At 47.7% G+C, this 17,475-nt stretch overlaps 1 annotated feature.

Annotated features, from left to right (window-relative positions):
- Window positions 16-310: an enhancer, noted in NCBI's record as "tiled region #2511; HepG2 Activating DNase matched - State 5:Enh, and K562 Activating DNase unmatched - State 20:ReprD". NCBI's record gives its function as "activates a minimal TATA promoter and a strong SV40 promoter by Sharpr-MPRA in HepG2 and K562 cells {active_cell/tissue: HepG2 | K562}" and the evidence as "EXISTENCE:reporter gene assay evidence [ECO:0000049][PMID:27701403]".

Here is a 17,475-nt window from a genome sequence, read left to right on the forward strand (position 1 = left end):
TGTCTTTCATCCTCCAGCAAAGTAGCCCAGGTGATCACATAGGTTGAATAGCAGCAAGAAGGCAAGCTCCTCCTTCTCTTCTGCTTGTGTCATGTTTGCTATTGTTCCATTGGCCAAAGCACATCATGTGGCCCTTCCCAGAGTCATGGTGAGAGGTCACAGTCAAAAGGCAAGCATACAGGGAGGCGTGCACAAATCGGGGGCCACGATTACAACAGTCTACCCCAACAGCTAATTTCAGAAGAGAGGACTAGCTTAAGTGCAGCAAAGTTGGGAGGTGGCAAGGAGGAAAAACAACTTCTGACCCAGCATTCTGGAAAAGCAGTGGACTTTGAGTTAGTTTTGTTTTGTTTTGTTTTGTTTTTTGAGACAAAGTCTTGCTCTTGTCCCCTAGGCTGGAGTGCAATGGCGCGATCTTGGCTCACTGCAACCTCCGCCTCCCGGGTTCAAGCGATTCTCCTGCCTCAGCCTCCCGAGTAGCTGGGATTACAGGCGTGCACCACCACACTCAGCTAATTTTTGTATTTTTAGTAGAGACGGGGTTTCACCATGTTGGCCAGGCTGGTCTTGAACTCCTGACCTAAAGTGATCCACCCACCTTGGCCTCCCAAAGTGTTGGGATTACAGGCATGAGCCACCACTCCCAACCAGGTTTTTTTGGTTTTTGTTTTTCAGACAGAGTCTTGCTTTGTTGCCCAGGCTGAAGTGCTGTGGCATGATCAAGTCTCACTGTAGCCTCAACTTCTCGGGCTCAAGTGATCCTCTCACCTCAGCCCCCTACTAGCTGAGACTATACATGTGGGCCACCACGCCCAGCTAATTTTTTGTGTTTTTTTGTAGAGATGGAGTTTCACCATGTTTCCCAGGCTGGTCTTGAACTCCTGGCCTCAAGTGATCCCCCCACCTCAACCTCCCAAAGTGGTGGGATTACAGGCATGACCCACCATGCCCAGCAATTTTTGTATTTTTTGTAGAGAGGGGGCTTTGCCATGTTGCCCATGTTAGTCCCATACTCCTGGGCTCAAGTGATCTGCCCTCCTCGGCCCCCCAAAGTACTGGGACTACAGGCATGAGCCACCATTACAGCCTAACATCTGTGATTTTATTTATTTATTTATTTATTTATTTATTTATTTATTTATTTTTGAGACCGAGTCTCCCTCTGTCACCCAGGCTGGAGTGCAGTGGCGTGATCTCAGCTCACTGCAAGCTCCATTTCCCGGGTTCATGGCATTCTCCTGCCTCAGCCTTCTGAGTAGCTGGGCACTCAGCTTGTATTTTTAGTAGAGACAGGGTTTCACCGTGTTAGCCAGGATGGTCTCGATTTCCTGACCTCATGATCCGTCCACCTCGGCCTCTCAAAGTGCTGGGATTACAGGCGTGAGCCACCGTGCCTGGCCCTATTTTTTTACTTTTTAATAGTAGCCATTTTGATCGATGTGAGATGGTATCACACTGTGGCTTTGATTTGCATTTCTCTAATGATTAGTGATGTTGAACATTTTTTAATTCTTGTTTGCCATATATATGTCTTCTTTTGAGAACTGTCTGTTCATGTCCTTTGTCAATTTTTTAATGGGGTTGTTTGTGTTTTGCTTGTTGATTTGTTTCGGTTCCTTATAGGTTCTGGATATTAGATCTTTGTCAGATGCATAGTTTGCAAATATTTTCTTCCATTCTGTAGATTATCTGTTTACTGTGTGATAGTTTGTTCTGTGTGCAGAAGCTCTTTGGTCTAATTAGGTCCCACTTGTCAACTTTTGTTTTTGTTGCAATTGCTTTTGGAGTCTTTGGCATGAAATCTTTACTAAGGCCTGTGTTCACAATGGTATTTCCTAGGTTTTCTTCTAGGGTGTTTATAGTTTTGGGTTTTACATTTAAGTCTTTAATCCATCTTGAGTTGAGAAGGAAGGGATCCATTTTCACTCATGCATATGGCTAAGCAGTTATCCCAGCACTATTTATTGAATGGGGAGTCCTTTCCTATTGCTTGTTATTATCAACTTTGTCGAAGATCAGATAGTTGTAGATGTGCAGCTTTATTTCTGGGTTTTCTATTCTGTTCCAATGGTCTACGTGTCTGTTTTTGTACCAGTACGACACTGTTTTGGTTACTGTAACCTTGTAGTACTGTTTGAAGCGGGGTAGTATGATGCCTCTGGCTTTGTTTTAAAAGTACTATCTCATTTAATTTTGAGCACTAGGTTCCATTTTCATCTCTTTTTTTTCTTTTTCATTTTTGAGATGAAGTCTTGCTCTGTTGCCCAGGCTGGAGTGCAGTGGTGCAATTTTGGCTCACTGCCACCTCTGCCTCCTGCGTTCAAGTGATTCCCCTGCCTCAGCCTCCCAAGTAGCTGGGATTACAGATGTGCACCACCATGCCCAGCTAATTTTTGTATTTTTAGTAGAGATGGGGTTTTACCATGTTGGCCAGGCTGTTCTCAAACTCCTGACCTCAAGTGATCTGCCTGCCTCAGCCTCCCAAACCTGGGATTACAGGTGTGAGCCACTGCTCCTGGCCACAATCTTGAGCAACAAGAACAAACCTGGAAGCATCACACTACCTGCTTTCAAAATACACTGCAAAACTGTAGTAATTAAAACAGCATGGTATTGGCATACAACAGATACACAGATCAATGGAACACAATATAAAGCCCAGATATAGATCCATGTATTTATGCTCAATTAATCTGCAACAAAGGTGCCAAGATCACACAATGGGAAAAGGACAGTCTCTTCAATAAATTGTGTTGGGAAAAGTGAATGTTTACAGGCAGAAGAATGAGATTGGACCTTTACAGCACACACAAAAATCAACTAAAAGTAGATTAAAGACTTAAAATATAAAACCAAAAACTGCAAAACTACTAAGAAGAAACAGGGAAAAAGCTTATTCACATTGGTCTGGACAATGATTTTTTTGGGTATAACCCCAAAACCACAGGCAACAAAAGCAAAAATAGACAAATGGGATTGCATCAAACTAAAAAGCTTCTGCACAGCAAAGGAAACCAACAACAGAGTTGAAGAGAACCTATAGCATGGGAGAAAATATGTGCAAACCACACATCTGATAAGAGTTAATATCTAAGATATATAAGGAATTGAAGTAGTTCGACAGCAAGAAAACAAATAACCCAATCAAAAAATGAGCAAAGAGGCCAGCCATGGTGGCTCACGCCTGTAATCTCAGCATTTTCGGAGGCGGAGGTGGATGGATCACCTGAGGTCAGGAGTTTGAGACCAGCCTGACCAACATGGTGAAACCCTGTTTCTACTAAACATACAAAAGTAGCTGGACGTGGTGGCACATGCCTGTAATCCCAACTACTCGGGAGGCTGAGGCAGGAGAATCATTTGAACCCAGGAGGTGGAGGTTGCAGTGAGCCAAGATTGCACCATTGCACTCTAGCCTGGGCAACAAGAGTGAAACTCCATCTCAAAACAAGAAAGAAAAAAAAAAAGGCAAACAGCCAGGTGCAGTGGTGTCTACCTGTAGTCCCTCCTACTTAGGAAGCTGAGGTGAGAGGATTGCTTGAGCCCACGAGTTTGAGGCTAGCCCAGGCAACATAGCGAGACCTCATCTCTAAAAAAATAAAAATAAAAAATTTAACGGGCAAAGGACCCAAACAGATATACCTCAAAAGAAGATATATAAATGGCCAATAGGTGTATGAAAAAATATTCAACATTGGCCGGGCATGGTGGCTCACGCCTGTAGTCCCAGCACTTTGGGAGGCCAAGGCAGGTGGATCATGAAGTCAAGAGATAGAGACCATCCTGGCCAACATGGTGAAACCCCGTCTCTACTAAAAATACAAAAATTAGCTGGGCGTGGTGGCACATGCCTGTAGTCCCAGCTACTCTGGAGGCTGAGGCAGGAGAATTGCTTGAACCCGAGAGGCGGAGTTTGCAGTTAGCCGAGACTATGCCACTGCAGTCCAGCCTGGCGAGAGAGCAAGACTCCATCTTAAAAAAAAAAAAGAAAAATACATCACCACTCATCAGGGAAATGCAAATCAAAAGCACAGTAAGATATCACTCACACTTGTTAAAATGGCTATGATCAAAGAGACAAAAGATAACAACATGTGGAGAAATGGGAACGCTTGTACACTGTTGGAGGGATTATGAGTTGGTAGAGCTGTTATGGAAAACAGTTATGGTGGTTCCTTGAAAAATTAAAAATAGAACCACAAGCTGGGCATGGTGGCTCATAGCTGTAATCCCAGCATTTTGGGAGGCCAAGGCAGAAGGATTGCTTGAGTCCAGGAGTTTGAGACCAGCCTGGGAATCATAGTGAGACCCTATCTCTACAAAAAATAAAAAATTAGCAAGGCCTGGTGGCCGCACCTGTAGTCCTAGCTCCTCGGGAGGCTGAAGTAGAAGGATTGCTTGAGCCTGGGAGTTCAAGGCTGCATGCAGTGAGCTATGTTTCAGCCACCACACCAGCCTGGGTGACAGAGTGAGACCCATCTCAAAAAAACAAAAGAACTACCATATGATCCAGTAATCCCACTTCTGGGTATATATCCATAGAAAATGAAATCAGTATGTTGAAGCGGTATCTGCACTTCCATGTTCATTGCAGCATTATTCACAATAGCCAAGATATGAAATCAACCTAAGTGTTTGTGGAAGGATAAATGAATATTAAAAATGTGGTGTATCCAGAGAATGGAATACCATAGAGCCTCAAAAAGGAAGGAAATGTGGTCATTTGGAACAACACGGATGAAGTTGGAGGACATTATGCTAAGTGCAATAAACCATAATAAGTGAAATAAGCCATTATGTTAGGTGAAAATAAAAAGACAAATATTGCATGATAAAGATATCACTTATATGTGGAATCTTAAAAAGCTGAACTCATAGAAGCAGAGTGTAGAATGATAGCGGCTAGGGACTGGTGGGTGGAGGAAATGAGGAGACTGGTCAGTTATTATAGAGCTGTTTTACTCATACAAGATGAGTAAGTTCTGGAGATCTAACATATGGCAATTATAGTTAATAATACTGTATTGTATAGTTGAAATTTGCTAAGATAGTAGTTTTTTTTTGGGGGGGTGGGGGATGGACTGAGTCTCGCTCTGTCGCCAGGCTGGAGTGCAGTGGCACAATCTTGGCTCACTGCAACCCCCACCTCCCGTGGTTCAAGCGATCCTCCTGCCTCAGCCTCCTAAGTAGCTGCGACTACAGGCATGCGCCACCACACCCAGCTAATTTTTTGTATTTTTAGTAGAGACGGGGTTTCACCATCTTGGCCAGGATAGTTTCGATCTCTTGACCTCGTGATCTGCCCACCTTGGCCTCCAAAACTGTTGGGATTACAGGCATGAGCCACTGCGCCCGGCCGAGAGTAAATCTGTTTTTTTTTTGTGACGGAGTCTCACTCTGTCGCCCAGGCTGGAGTGCAGTGGTGTGATCTCGGCTCACTGCAAGCTCCACCTCCGGGGTTCTCGCCATTCTTCTGCCTCAGCCTCCCAAGTAGCTGGGACTACAGGCGCCCGCCACCACGCCCAGCTAATTTTTTCTATTTTTAGTAGAGATGCGGTTTCACCATGTTAGCCAGAATAGTCTCGATCTCCTGACCTCGTGATCCACCCGTCTCAGCCTCCCAAAGTGCTGGGATTACAGGTGTGAGCCACCATGCCCAGCCCTGAGAGTAGATCTTAAATGTTCTCACACACACAAAAAGCAAAAAGTTAACTATGTGAAGTGATTAATATGTTCATTAGCTTGATGTGGTGATTATCTTTTTTTTCTTTTTTTGAGACAGGGTTTCACTTTGTCACACAGATTGAAATGCAGTGGTGCAAACCCTGCTCACTGCAGCCTCAACCTCCCAGGCTCCACCAATCCTCCTGCCTCAGCCTCCCAAGTAGCTGGGACTACAGGTGCATGCCACCATGCCCAGCTAATTTTTTTTTTTTTTTTTGAGATGGATTCTTGCTCTGTCGCTCAGGCTGGAGTGCAATGGTGCAGGTTCACGCCATTCTCCTGCCTCAGCCTCCTGAGTAGCTGGGACTACAGGCGCCCACCACCACGTCTGGCTAATTTTTTGTATTTTTAGTAGAGACGGGGTTTCATCGTGTTAGCCAGGATGGTCTCAATCTCCTGACCTCGTGATCCGCCCGCATTGGCCTCCCAAAGCTCGGCTAATTTTTGTATTTTTTGTAGAAACAGGATTTTGCCATGTTGCCAAGGCTGGTCTTAAACTCCCAGGCTGAAGCAATCCACCCGCCTCAGCCTCCCAAAGTGCTGGGATTACAGACATGAGCCACCGTGACCAACAGATGTGGTAATTATCTTACAACGTATAGGTATATCAAAATGTTGTGTTGTTAGTCAGGCATGGTGGTGTACACCTGTAGTCCCAGCTACTCCAGGGAGGTAGAGGCTGCAGTGAGCTATGATTGTGCCACTGTACTCCAGGTTGGGCAACAGAGGGACACCTTATCTCTTTCTTTCTTTCTTTTTTTTTTTTTTTTTTTGACAGAGTCTCCCTCTGTCGCCCAGGCTGGAGTGCAGTGGGCACTTGGCTCACTGCAACCTCCATGTCCCGGGTTCAAGTGATTCTCCTGTCTCAGCCTCCTGAGTAGCTGGGACCATAGGCTTGTGCCACCATACTTGGCTAATTTTTGTATTTTTAGTAGAGATGGGGTTTTGCCACATTGGCCAGGCTGGTCTTCAACTCCTGACCCCAGGTGATCTGCCTGTCTCAGCCTCCCAAAGTGCTGGGATTACAAACACAAGCCACCAACATGCCCACCCTGGGAGACCCTATCTCTAAGAAGAAGAAAAAAATTGTCTGTATTATTCACAATATGACTTTTTTTTTGAGATGGAGTCTCGCTTTATCACCCAGGCTGGAGTGCAGTGGCGCTATCTTGGCTCACTGCAACCTCCACCTCCCAGGTTCAAGCAATTCTCCCACCTTAGCCCCCAGAGTAACAGGGACTATAGGCATGCACCACAATGCCTGGTTAATTTTTGTATTTTTAGTAGAGATGGGGTTTCACCATGTTGGCCAGGATGGTCTCGAACTCCTGACCTCAGGTGATCTGCCTAGGCCTGGCATTACAGGCATGAGCCACTGTGCCTGGCTTGTTTTTGTTTTTTCTTTGAGACAGTGTCTTGTTCTGTTGCCCAGGCTGGAGTGCAGTGGCACAATCACAGCTCACTGCAGCCTCGACCTCCCAGGCTCAAGTGATCCTCCCGCCTCAGCCACATGAGTGGCTAGTAATATACTATAGGCATGTGCCACCACACTTAATATTTTCGTTTTTTTGTAGGGACGGAGTAGTGCCATGTTGCCCAGGCTGGTCTCAAACTCCTGGCCTCAAGAGATCCTCCTGCCTTGGCCTCCCAAAGTGCTGAGATTACAGGCTTAAGACATTGTGCACTCATATACACTTTATTTATCAATTACACCTCAGTAACCCTTGAAAACACTTTTAATTTAAAAATAGTCGGGTGCGGTGGCTCATGCCTGTATCTCAGCACTTTGGGAGGCCAAGGTGGATGAATCAGGCCAGGAGTTCAAGACCAGCGTGGCCAACATGGCAAAATCCATCTCTATTAAAAATACAAAAATTACTCGGGCGTGGTGGTGCATGCCTATAATCCCAGCTACTTGGGAGGCTGAGGCATGAGAATCTCTTAAGCCTGGGAGGCAGAAGTTGCAGTGAGCTGAGATCACGTCACTGCACTCCAGCCCAGATGACGGAGCAAGACTCTGTCTCAAAAAAAGAAAAAAAGGTCAGGCGTGGTGTCTCACGCCTGTAATCCCAGCACTTTGAGAGGCCAAGGCGGGTGGATCACCTGAGGTCAGGAGTTTGAAACCAGCCTGGCCAACGTGGTGAAACCCTGTCTCTACTAAAAATACAAAAAATTAGCCGGGCATGGTGGTGAGCACCTGCAATCCCAGCTACTCAGGAGGCTGAGGCAGGAGAATCGCTTGAGCCCAGGAAGTGGAGGCTGCAGTGAGCCAAGATGGCACCAGCCTGGGAAATAGAGCGAGACTACGTCTCAAAATAAAAAAAGAAAAAAGAAAAAAAAAGTCTCCCCTCAATTTTTTTTTGAGGCAGAGTCTCACTCCGTTGCCCAGGCTGGAGTGCAGTGGCACTATCTCGGCTCACTGCAGCCTCCACCTCCCGGGTTCAAGCGATTCTCCTGCCTCAGCCTCCTGAGTAGCTAGGACTGCAGGTGCACGCCACCATGATTGGCTAATTTTTTTATTTTTAGTAGAGACCATGTTGGCCAGGATGGTCTCAATCTCCTGACCTCATGATCCACCTGCCTCAGCCTCCCAAAATGCTGGGATTACAGGCGTGAGCCACTGTGCCCGGCCTTAAAATTTTTTTCTGGCTGGGCGCGGTGGCTCACACCTGTAATCCCAGCACTTCGGGAGGCCGAGGCAGGTGGATCACCTGAGGTCAGGAGTTCGAGACAAGCTGGCTAACACAGTGAAACCCAGTCTCTACTGAAAATACAAAAAATTTGCCGGGCATGGTGGCAGGCGCCTGTAGTCCCAGCTACTCGGGAGGCTGAGGCAGGAGAATGGTGTGAACCCGGGAGACGGAGCTTGCAGTGAGCCAAGATCGTGCCACTGCACTCCAGCCTAGGTGACAGAGTGAGACTCTGTATCAAAAAAAAAAAAAAATTTTTTTCTTTAATTTAAAATTTTTGTAGAGATGAGGGTCTTGCTGTGTTGCTCAGGCTGGTGTCAAACTCCTGGGCACATGCAATCCTCCTTCTTTGGCCTCCCAAAGTGCTGGGATTACAGGTGTGAGCTACTGTGCCTGGCCAATGAAGCTGCTTTAAAAAAAGAGCTGGGAGTGGCCGCACGCGGTCACTCAAGCCTGTAATCTCAGCACTTTGGGAGGCTGAGGAGGGTGGATCAGGGGGTCAGAGGTTTGAGACCAGCCTGGCCAACGTGGTGAAACCACTTGTCTACAAAAAAAAAAAAAAAAAAATTAACCGGGTGTGGTGGTGTGTGCCTGTAATCCCAGCTACCTGGGAGGCTGAGGCAGGAGAATCACTTGAACCTGAGAGGCGGAAGTTGCAGTAAACCTAGACTGCACCATTGCACGCCAGCCTGGGCGACACAGCAAGACTCTGTCTAAAAAAAAAAGAAGAGCTGAGAGTAATGGATGTCCCAATTATTTATTGCTATGCTGCAGCAAATGACCACAAAATATAGTGGCTTAAAGCAACAGTCATACCATTATATTTCATAATTTTGTGGATCAGGAATTCAGACAGGCTCGGCTGGGTGGGATGTTCAAGGATGGAGGTTTCAAGATGGCTTCACTCTTACACTACCACCTTGGCAGGGACAGTTGGGAGGCTGGGCTCCAGTGAGTCCCTGTCCTTCATGGAGATTCTGAGCCTCTTCATGTGGTCTCTCTGGAAGGAAGGTCAGACTTCTTTTTTTTTTTTTTTCTTTTCTTTTTTTTTTTGAGACAGAGTCTTGCTGTCGCCCAGACTGGAGTGCAGTGGCACGATCATGGCTCACTGCAGGCTCCGCCCCCCGGGGTTCACACCATTCTCCTGCCTCAGCCTCCCGAGTAGCTGGGACTACAGGCACCCGCTACCTCGCCCGGCTAATTTTTTGTATTTTTAGTAGAGACGGAGTTTCACTGTGTTAGCCAGGATGGTCTCGATCTCCTGACCTCGTGATCCACCCGCCTCGGCCTTCCAAAGTGCTGGGATTACAGGCGTGAGCCACCGTGCCCGGCCAGGAAGGTCAGACTTCTTACGTCGTGGCTCAGGCTATGAGAGACCAAGGTGGAAGCTGCCAATTCTCTTAAAGTTTAGGCCTGGACCTGGCATAGCATTACTTCTGCCATGCTTTATTAATCAAAGTAGTCATGTTCTGGGAGGAGGGAAAAGGCTGAGTTGGAACCGCCAGGCAGAAGCTATATTGGGAGTTATGATGGCACCAGTGCACTCCAGCCTGGACAACACAGTGAGACCCTGTTATCTAATAATAATAATAATAATAATAATAATAATAATGCAAAATAAAAATGGGAGCCATAATGGGTCCTAAGCAGTTGAGTCTGGGTATATGATGGTTGCGGGTGGGCCTCGTGTGGAAGAGTGATGGAAATAATACTGGGTCGGGCATGGTGGCTCATGCCTGTAATCTCAGCACTTTGGGAGGCCGAGGTGGTTGAATCACCTGAGATCAGGAATTCGAGACCTGCCTGGCCAACATGGTGAAACCTCGTCTCTACTAAAAATACAAAAATTAGCTGATGTGGTGGTGCATGCCTGTAATCTCAGCTACTCGGGAGGTTGAGGCAGGAGAATCACTTGAACCTGGGAGGTGAAGGTTGTAGCAAGCCGAGATCGTGCCACTGTACTCCAGCCTGGTGACAGAGCAAGACTCTGTCTCAAAATAAAATAAAATAAAATAAAATAAAATAAAATAAAATAAAATTTAAAAACACAAAAAAAGGAAGTAATACTGGACAGGGAGTTATGAGAGACTAGAGAGGTCTTCGGCTGTCAGGTTAAGCAGTTGAGTTAACTTTTCTAGGTAAGAGGGAGCCCTTGAATTCTACAGCAGGTGAATTCAAAGAATGAGTGAAGGAGAGGACTAGGCCAAACAAGGATGAATAAATGGCGTAAAAATTTTCAGCTACAAAATCAGGCAGCATTTGGAGTAAGAAGCTGGTCAGGCTTAACAGCATGTATTGATTTATATAGCTTTTGATTTTTCTGCTTTATTTATTTGAGACAAGATCTCGCCCTGTAATTCAGGTTGGGGTGCAGTGGCAGGATCTCGGCTCACTGCAACCTCAACCTCCCGGGTTCAAGCGATTCTCCTACCTCAGCCTCCCAAGTATCTGGGATTACAGGCGTGCGCCACCATGCCTGGCTAATTTTTGTATTTTTAGTAGAGATAGGGTTTCACCATGTTGGCCAGGCTGGTCTCGAACTCCTGACCTCAGGTGATCTGCCTGCCTCGGTGAGGCACCACGCCTAGCCCTGGATAATTTTTTGTATTTTTTGTAGAGATGGGTTTTCGCCATGTTGCCCAGGCTGGTCTCAAACTCCTGGGCCCAAGCAATCTGCCCTCCTCGGTCTCTCAAAGTGCTGGAATCACAGGCATAAGCCACTACGCCCAGCCTATATTTTAAAAACAACTTTCATTGTTTTTAACCCTTATTATGAAAGACACAAATTTCATTTTCAAAAATCCGGAATGACAGTTTAGCTTTAAAATGGTTGGCAGCAGGCAGCCACTTTGGGGTCTTGAGCTGGGAATGACAAGAGGCAAGACTACAACTTTCTATTATGGAGGGGAAGGAGGATGTGGTTTGTTGTGTGAGATGTTGAGGTCCAGGGGAGAGTAGTGATTAGACAATGACAAACTTAAGTGTCGGCAGGCAGTTTGCAAACCACTCTGCTGAATACCAATTATTACACTTTTTTTTTTGGTCTTTTTTTCCCCCCTCTTTCTGTGGAGAATGAGGTCTCGCTATATTGCCCAGGCAGGTCTCGAACTCCTGGGCTCAAGCTATCCTCCCGCCTCTGCCTCCATAAGAGCTGGGATTATAGGTGTGAGCCACTGCACCCGGTGAATACCAATGATTAAAAAACAGTGAACGGCTGGGTGCGGTGGCTCATCCCTGTAATCCCAGCACTCTGGGAGGCCGAGGCGGGCGGATCACAAGGTCAGAAGATTGAGACCATCCTGGCTAAGATGGTGAGACCCTGTCTCTACTAAAAAATACAAAAAAAATTAGCCGGCCATGGTGGCGGGCGCCTGTAGTCCCAGCTACTCGGGAGGCTGAGGCAGGAGAATGGCGTGAACCCGGAAGGTGGAGCTTGCAGTGAGCATACATCGCGCCACTGCACTCCAGCCTGGGCGACAGAGCAAGACTCCGTCTCAAAAAAAAAAAAAAAAAAAAAGCAGTGAACATGGGGCCCGGCGCCATGGCTCACGCCTGTAATCCCAGCACTTTGAGAGGCCGAGGCAGGTGGATCACGAGGTCAGGAGCTCGAGACCAGCCTGGCCAGCATGGTGAAACCCCATCTCTATTAAAAATACAAAAAAATTAGCCGGGCATGGTGGCACGCTCCTGTAGTCCTAGCTACTTGAGAGGCTAAGGCAGGAGAATTGCTTGAACCTGGGAGGTAGAGGTTGCAATGAGCAAAAATCACGCCACTGCACTCCAGCCTGGGCAACAGGGCGATACTCCATCTCAAAAAAATAAAAATAAAAACAAAAAACAAACAAAACAAAAAAAAGTGAACATTTATAGCTTGGTACTATACTAAGCACTGTACATTTAGTAACTCATTTAACCCTGATAGTCAGGTACCTGTATCATTCCCATTACATGGATTAAAAATTTGAGGCACCGAAGGGTTAAGCAACTTGTCCAAAGCTCCAGTTAAGCGTGGTGGAGCTCTCAAGTCTGTAGTCCCAGTACTTTGGGTGGCTGAGGCAGCAGGATTGCTTGAGGCCAGGAGTTTGAGACCAGCCTGGGCAACACAGTAAGACCTTGTCTCTAAAAAAAAGAAAAAAGGAAAAAAAAGAAAAAAAGGGTAGTGGAGCTGAAGTGTTAGTTTAGCTGAGTTCTGTAGTTAACCACCAAAGCTAGATATTTACTTTTACCTTTTATATGTGCAATTCAAGTTTCTCTATTCTAATTTATAAAGTTCTAGGTGACTAGAGCTCCCATGATATCATCTGACATGTTGCTGTTCTGGACTCAGGGTTGTTGAAAGCAGCTGACACACTCTGTTAATGATTCCAAGGCCAGAGTCAGGCTGCAGTGAAGAGTTGGCCTGGTGTGTAAGAACTCCATCCCCCCTAACCGGCAGGATGCAGGCAATGATTCAGTAGGTTAGGCTGGTTCCCCCCATCCCATCCCCTCACCCCCTGCCATCGTTCAAAATAGTAATTATGATGTAATGTTTAATGTTTAAAAAAATACTCTGGTGATTTATGGACTTAAAAACTATCTGAATGCACCCTGAGGATGATGGTGAAAGGTGCAATTTTGACATCAAAACAAGTGGGTGCATCTAATATTTAATTAAAGGATCAGATGAAGAAAGCAGATGCGAAGTCGCTCAGATGGAAATGTGGCCTAACCCCCAACCCAAGGTCTGAGAGAGTGACAGAAGCTAGTGTCACCTTTGAATACAAAACATGGCTACAGATGAATTCAAGAAAGAATGAAAATGTATTGCTTATATAATTTTAGGGCTAGTTTCTTTTTTTTCTTTCTTTTTTTTTTTTTTACGAGGCGGAGTCTTGCTCTGTCACACAGGCTGGAGTTCAGTGGCAGGATCTCAGCTCACTGCAACCTCCGGCTCCCGGGTTCAAGCAATTCTCTTGCCTCAGCCTCCCGAATAGCTGGGATTACAGGCGCCTGCCACCACACACGGCTAGTTTTTTGTACCTTTAGTTTCTTTTTAGTTAATTATTAAAATACAAGATGATTTATTTTCAGGATTCTTGAAGGCATATAGACTCCCTTTCAAATGTAAATGAGTGGAGGAAAAACTGGAAGCCTGCGTCCTCCTCCTTTGCTAACAAAGGGTGTTTATTAGCTAGGATGGCAATGAAAAATTTAATACAACGTAGTTTATAGCAGTGGACTGTGTCTTTGGCTCCTCATCTGGATGTGTAGCTCTGGCTCCTCATGGATAAGCTGTATAAAGCCTTATTAGATTCAAATACTAACCGTCGCTATGCCATATTAAAAAAAATCATTATAGCTATAAGCTGTATTTCTTATATAAGTGGGGTTAAATTGGTTGACTTAAAGATTTCCCCCTTTGCTACCAGTGCTAAAAAATTGTCTTAACCAAAATTAGGAATGTGCTAATTTAACAATTTACACTACAGGCCTGCTTCCTGGCAATGTGCTGTCAATTCAAGAAAAGAAAGAAGGAAAGCTACTTCACGATGAGAAATCAAACCTCACCCCCACTTCTCGCTCTCTCTTTTCTTCCTTTTTTTTTTTTTCCTCTGAGCAATGGTCCCCAGGAAACAAACCCACAAACCGCTGTCAAGTTTGATTCCTCTTTCTGGAGTTACAGCCTTCCTGCTCCTCCGTGATGGCTCAGCTGAAGTACCACCTCTGCTACTCGTTTTCAAAATACATGTTGAGTCTTAGGACCAGGAGGACGATTGAGGTTTTTTTTCCTTGTCATCTTTCTTTTCTTTTTCTTTCTTTCTTTTTTTGGTGGTGGGTGGGGCCAAACTAAGAGGGAGACAGCAGGTCTGGGCCATCCCTCTTCTGACCCTCTGGGGCCATCTTCCTTCTGGCAATTCTCTTCCCCCATCTGTTTTCCTCTTGTTTTTGTTTTTTAAAAAAGAAGGAAAAACAATCAAAGAAAGGAAAAGAAACGAAACAAAACAAAATTACATGAAACATCTCTATGGCAAGGCCAGTATGGTAGAAAATTATGGTAAAAAATTATAGGAGTGCATTGATTCATATGAGCATTTCATGTTTCTACACAGGTCTCAAATTATGGAAGAAATACATTGTTTAGGCAAGAGATGGTGGCATGAGAAGCTTCCTCTTTAATTTTTAAATTATACAAAGTTTGCTTCTTCGTTTGGCAAAGGAGGGGCTCTGTTTTGGTCTTATTTGATCAATAATTTTTCACTCCTCACACATTTCAGAAAATGTTCACTGATGTTCATTTTGCTCCAGGTGCTAAGGAGGGAGCTCTGGGGGCAGCTGAGGGCTTAGGCATTCCCGGTGGGGCTGCCAGGCTCTTCCTCAGCCTAGGAAACGCTCCCATCTCAGGACAGCACCCTGGCCCCCAAGACGGCTTCATCCTTTTGGAGAGGTACTTCTGCAGCTTCCTAGGGCCATCAGCACATGTGTCCAGCTGGGTTGATTTAAGGGCTTTTTCCAGGGTGATTTTCCCATGGATTCCAATGAGCAAAACCAGAGGAGCTGGGGAGGTCCATGTAGTGTATTTTTAAATTTCTCCATCTTTATGATCCAGGCATAGTTATGCAGGTTGGACACCGAGGTGTTTTTTTAAATTGCTTATCGAAGTATAATTTAAACAGTGAAATCGTGCATAGATCTTAAATGGCATTTATAAGTTTTGACAAATGTACATACACGGCAATCTATTTTTATTTCACCACCCCAGAAGGTTCCTTCATGCCCTTTCCCAGTCAATACCTCCTCATCCCCAAGGGTACTTTTCCTCTCCCCATAGCTTAGTTCTCTGTTCTAGAATTTCCTGGAAATGGAATCACACAGTATGAACTCTTTTGTGTTTGGCTTCTCTCTCCCAACACGATGTTTTTGAGTCATCAGGTTGTTGCCTGTACCAGGTTAAATAGGATATCACTAACAGCGAGATAGTGTTAAGAAGGGGACAATTTTTACCCCGTTGGCCTCCAGGCCAGATACTACCTATATCCTGGTAAGTGGCCCTCCTTGCCCTTCCAAGTGAGTCTCTCTCCAGGGCCATGCAAGTTCCTCTCCCAGAACCGCTCAGGCGGCCTCGGGCACCACCCAGATGGCTGCGGGGCCATCACCAGGTCGCCTCCCCAGAACAGCTGCCCCCTGCTTCCCCCCAGCCCCATTAAAACTCAAAAGGGAACTCTGGCCCCTCTGCCGATCAGAATTCAGACTCGCTTAATTCCATGCATCCAACTGCACACCACCGTGTGATGTTTTGGTGATCAGATATGCAGAGTTCTTTAAAAAACGTAAAAAGAAAAAAAGAAAAGGTGGGTAAAAACCGAGATCTCCCGGGCAGTGGATATGTCTCGGTTGAGCCAGGGATTCAGAATGAAATCTTTTCTTTTCTTTTTTAAATAAACGGAAGAGTCGTTCTCTGCTCCTCGCTCAGAAGGTTTCAAAGGTCGTCACACTGAAGCCCGGGGGCGTTCATCTCCCCAGCGGCCGGGAGAAGGGAGGAGGTTGGAGGGCGGAGGGAGGGAGCACACAAAAGCGGGCCGTGCTGAGAGGGCTAATGTTTCCTGTTTGCCTGGAGCCCCCTCCCCTGCCTCCCCTCCCCCAGCCCCCTCCCAGCACTCGGGCGGAAGTGAGTTTGCTCCTTTGGAGATTAAAAGGATTCCGAATTCCGATCAGTCCCAATAACCGGCGTACTGAAGAGAAGAGGAGGAGGAGGAGGAGGCAGAGGCGGCAAAGCAGAGAAAGAGGGGGCGCGCGCGCGCGCACGCAACCCGAACTGGGGGAGTTGTGCAAAGCCCCAGGAGGCCGGGGCACGGCGGGAGCAAAGCTCGGTAGGCGCAGCGCGGCCGAGGCCACCCGCGTCCGGATCGGCGACTCCTTTCAGAAAGAAGATGACGCGGGCGCGAGCCGGCGGCGTTGGCCACGCGGCTCCCGAGCTCGCCGCGCGGGGCTGTTGCCGGTTCCACTGATTCCAGCGCGCCCGAGAGGAGCCTCCATCCCCGAGGCTCGGGATCGGAGGGGGGACCAAGGCGAGGGCGAAATGGCCCGATGACAAAGGAAATGTGATCCCCCTTCTCTGCCAAGGTTTCAGAGAGGACGGACGTGAGGAGGAGGAGGGGCGCAGGGCGCGCGCGGAGCTCGGATAGCATTGCACGACGGCCCGCGCGGAGCGGGTACATCTAATATCTTCCTGCCGATGAATAATTCAGGGCGGCCCGCGGGGACCTGCGGCCCCGCGCGCTAAGCCGAAGGGGAAGGAGCGTGCGTGAGGCGCCCAGGCCAGGCGAGGCGGGGGCACGAGGGCTCCGGGCCGCGTGGGGCGCGCGTGCGTGTTAAGCGCGGGCAGCCGCGGCCCGGCTGGGCAGGCGCGCGGAAGACTCGAGGCGCGTGGGACGCGCGTGCGTACTGCACGCGTGCGGCCGCGGCTGGGCCACCACGAGCTGCAGCTGCTGCGGGGCCCACCGCCCTGCAGGGGAGGCCGTGCCTGGCTGTGCGCAAGCCCCAAGCGCAGCACGCCGGGCCACCCAGGAGCCCCTGGCCGCCGCGTCATGCGGCGGGGCAGCCGACGTCGCGCGGGGAGACACCGGCTTGGCGACGCACCGCTCCCGCCTTTACTAGTTTGGGGCTCCTTCCCCTCCCAAGAACAGACTAAATCCGTTTAAAGAAAAGCAACGCACCAAATACTCGTGGAACCAAATTCTGCTCTCGCCGGGACTGGGACTGCACAGCGAACTCTCCTTTTGGGAACTCCTTTCGTCTATCGCGAAGGGAAGCCTCAGCTGCTCCAGGGAGTCTTCCGACCTCCCTGCCCCCGCTCGCCCCTCGCCTGTCGGGGCTTGTTCCGGCGTTCCCTCTTCGGAAGGCACGCGGCCCCCAAGTTATCCGGAGGAATCTGTGTCGCCGCTGGATAGTGGCATTTAATGCCTGCAGTGTCGGGGGTGGCAGCGCTCGGGCCGGACGTGGCGAGGCCAAGCGGGCAGCGCTGCTCTGGTGCCGGCTCCCGGATTGCAGGCCTAATCGATGCATTTTTCTGAGTGAGTCGGTG

Source organism: Homo sapiens, chromosome 3, assembly GCF_000001405.40.
Source record: "Homo sapiens chromosome 3, GRCh38.p14 Primary Assembly".
Lineage (NCBI taxonomy): Eukaryota > Metazoa > Chordata > Mammalia > Primates > Hominidae > Homo > Homo sapiens.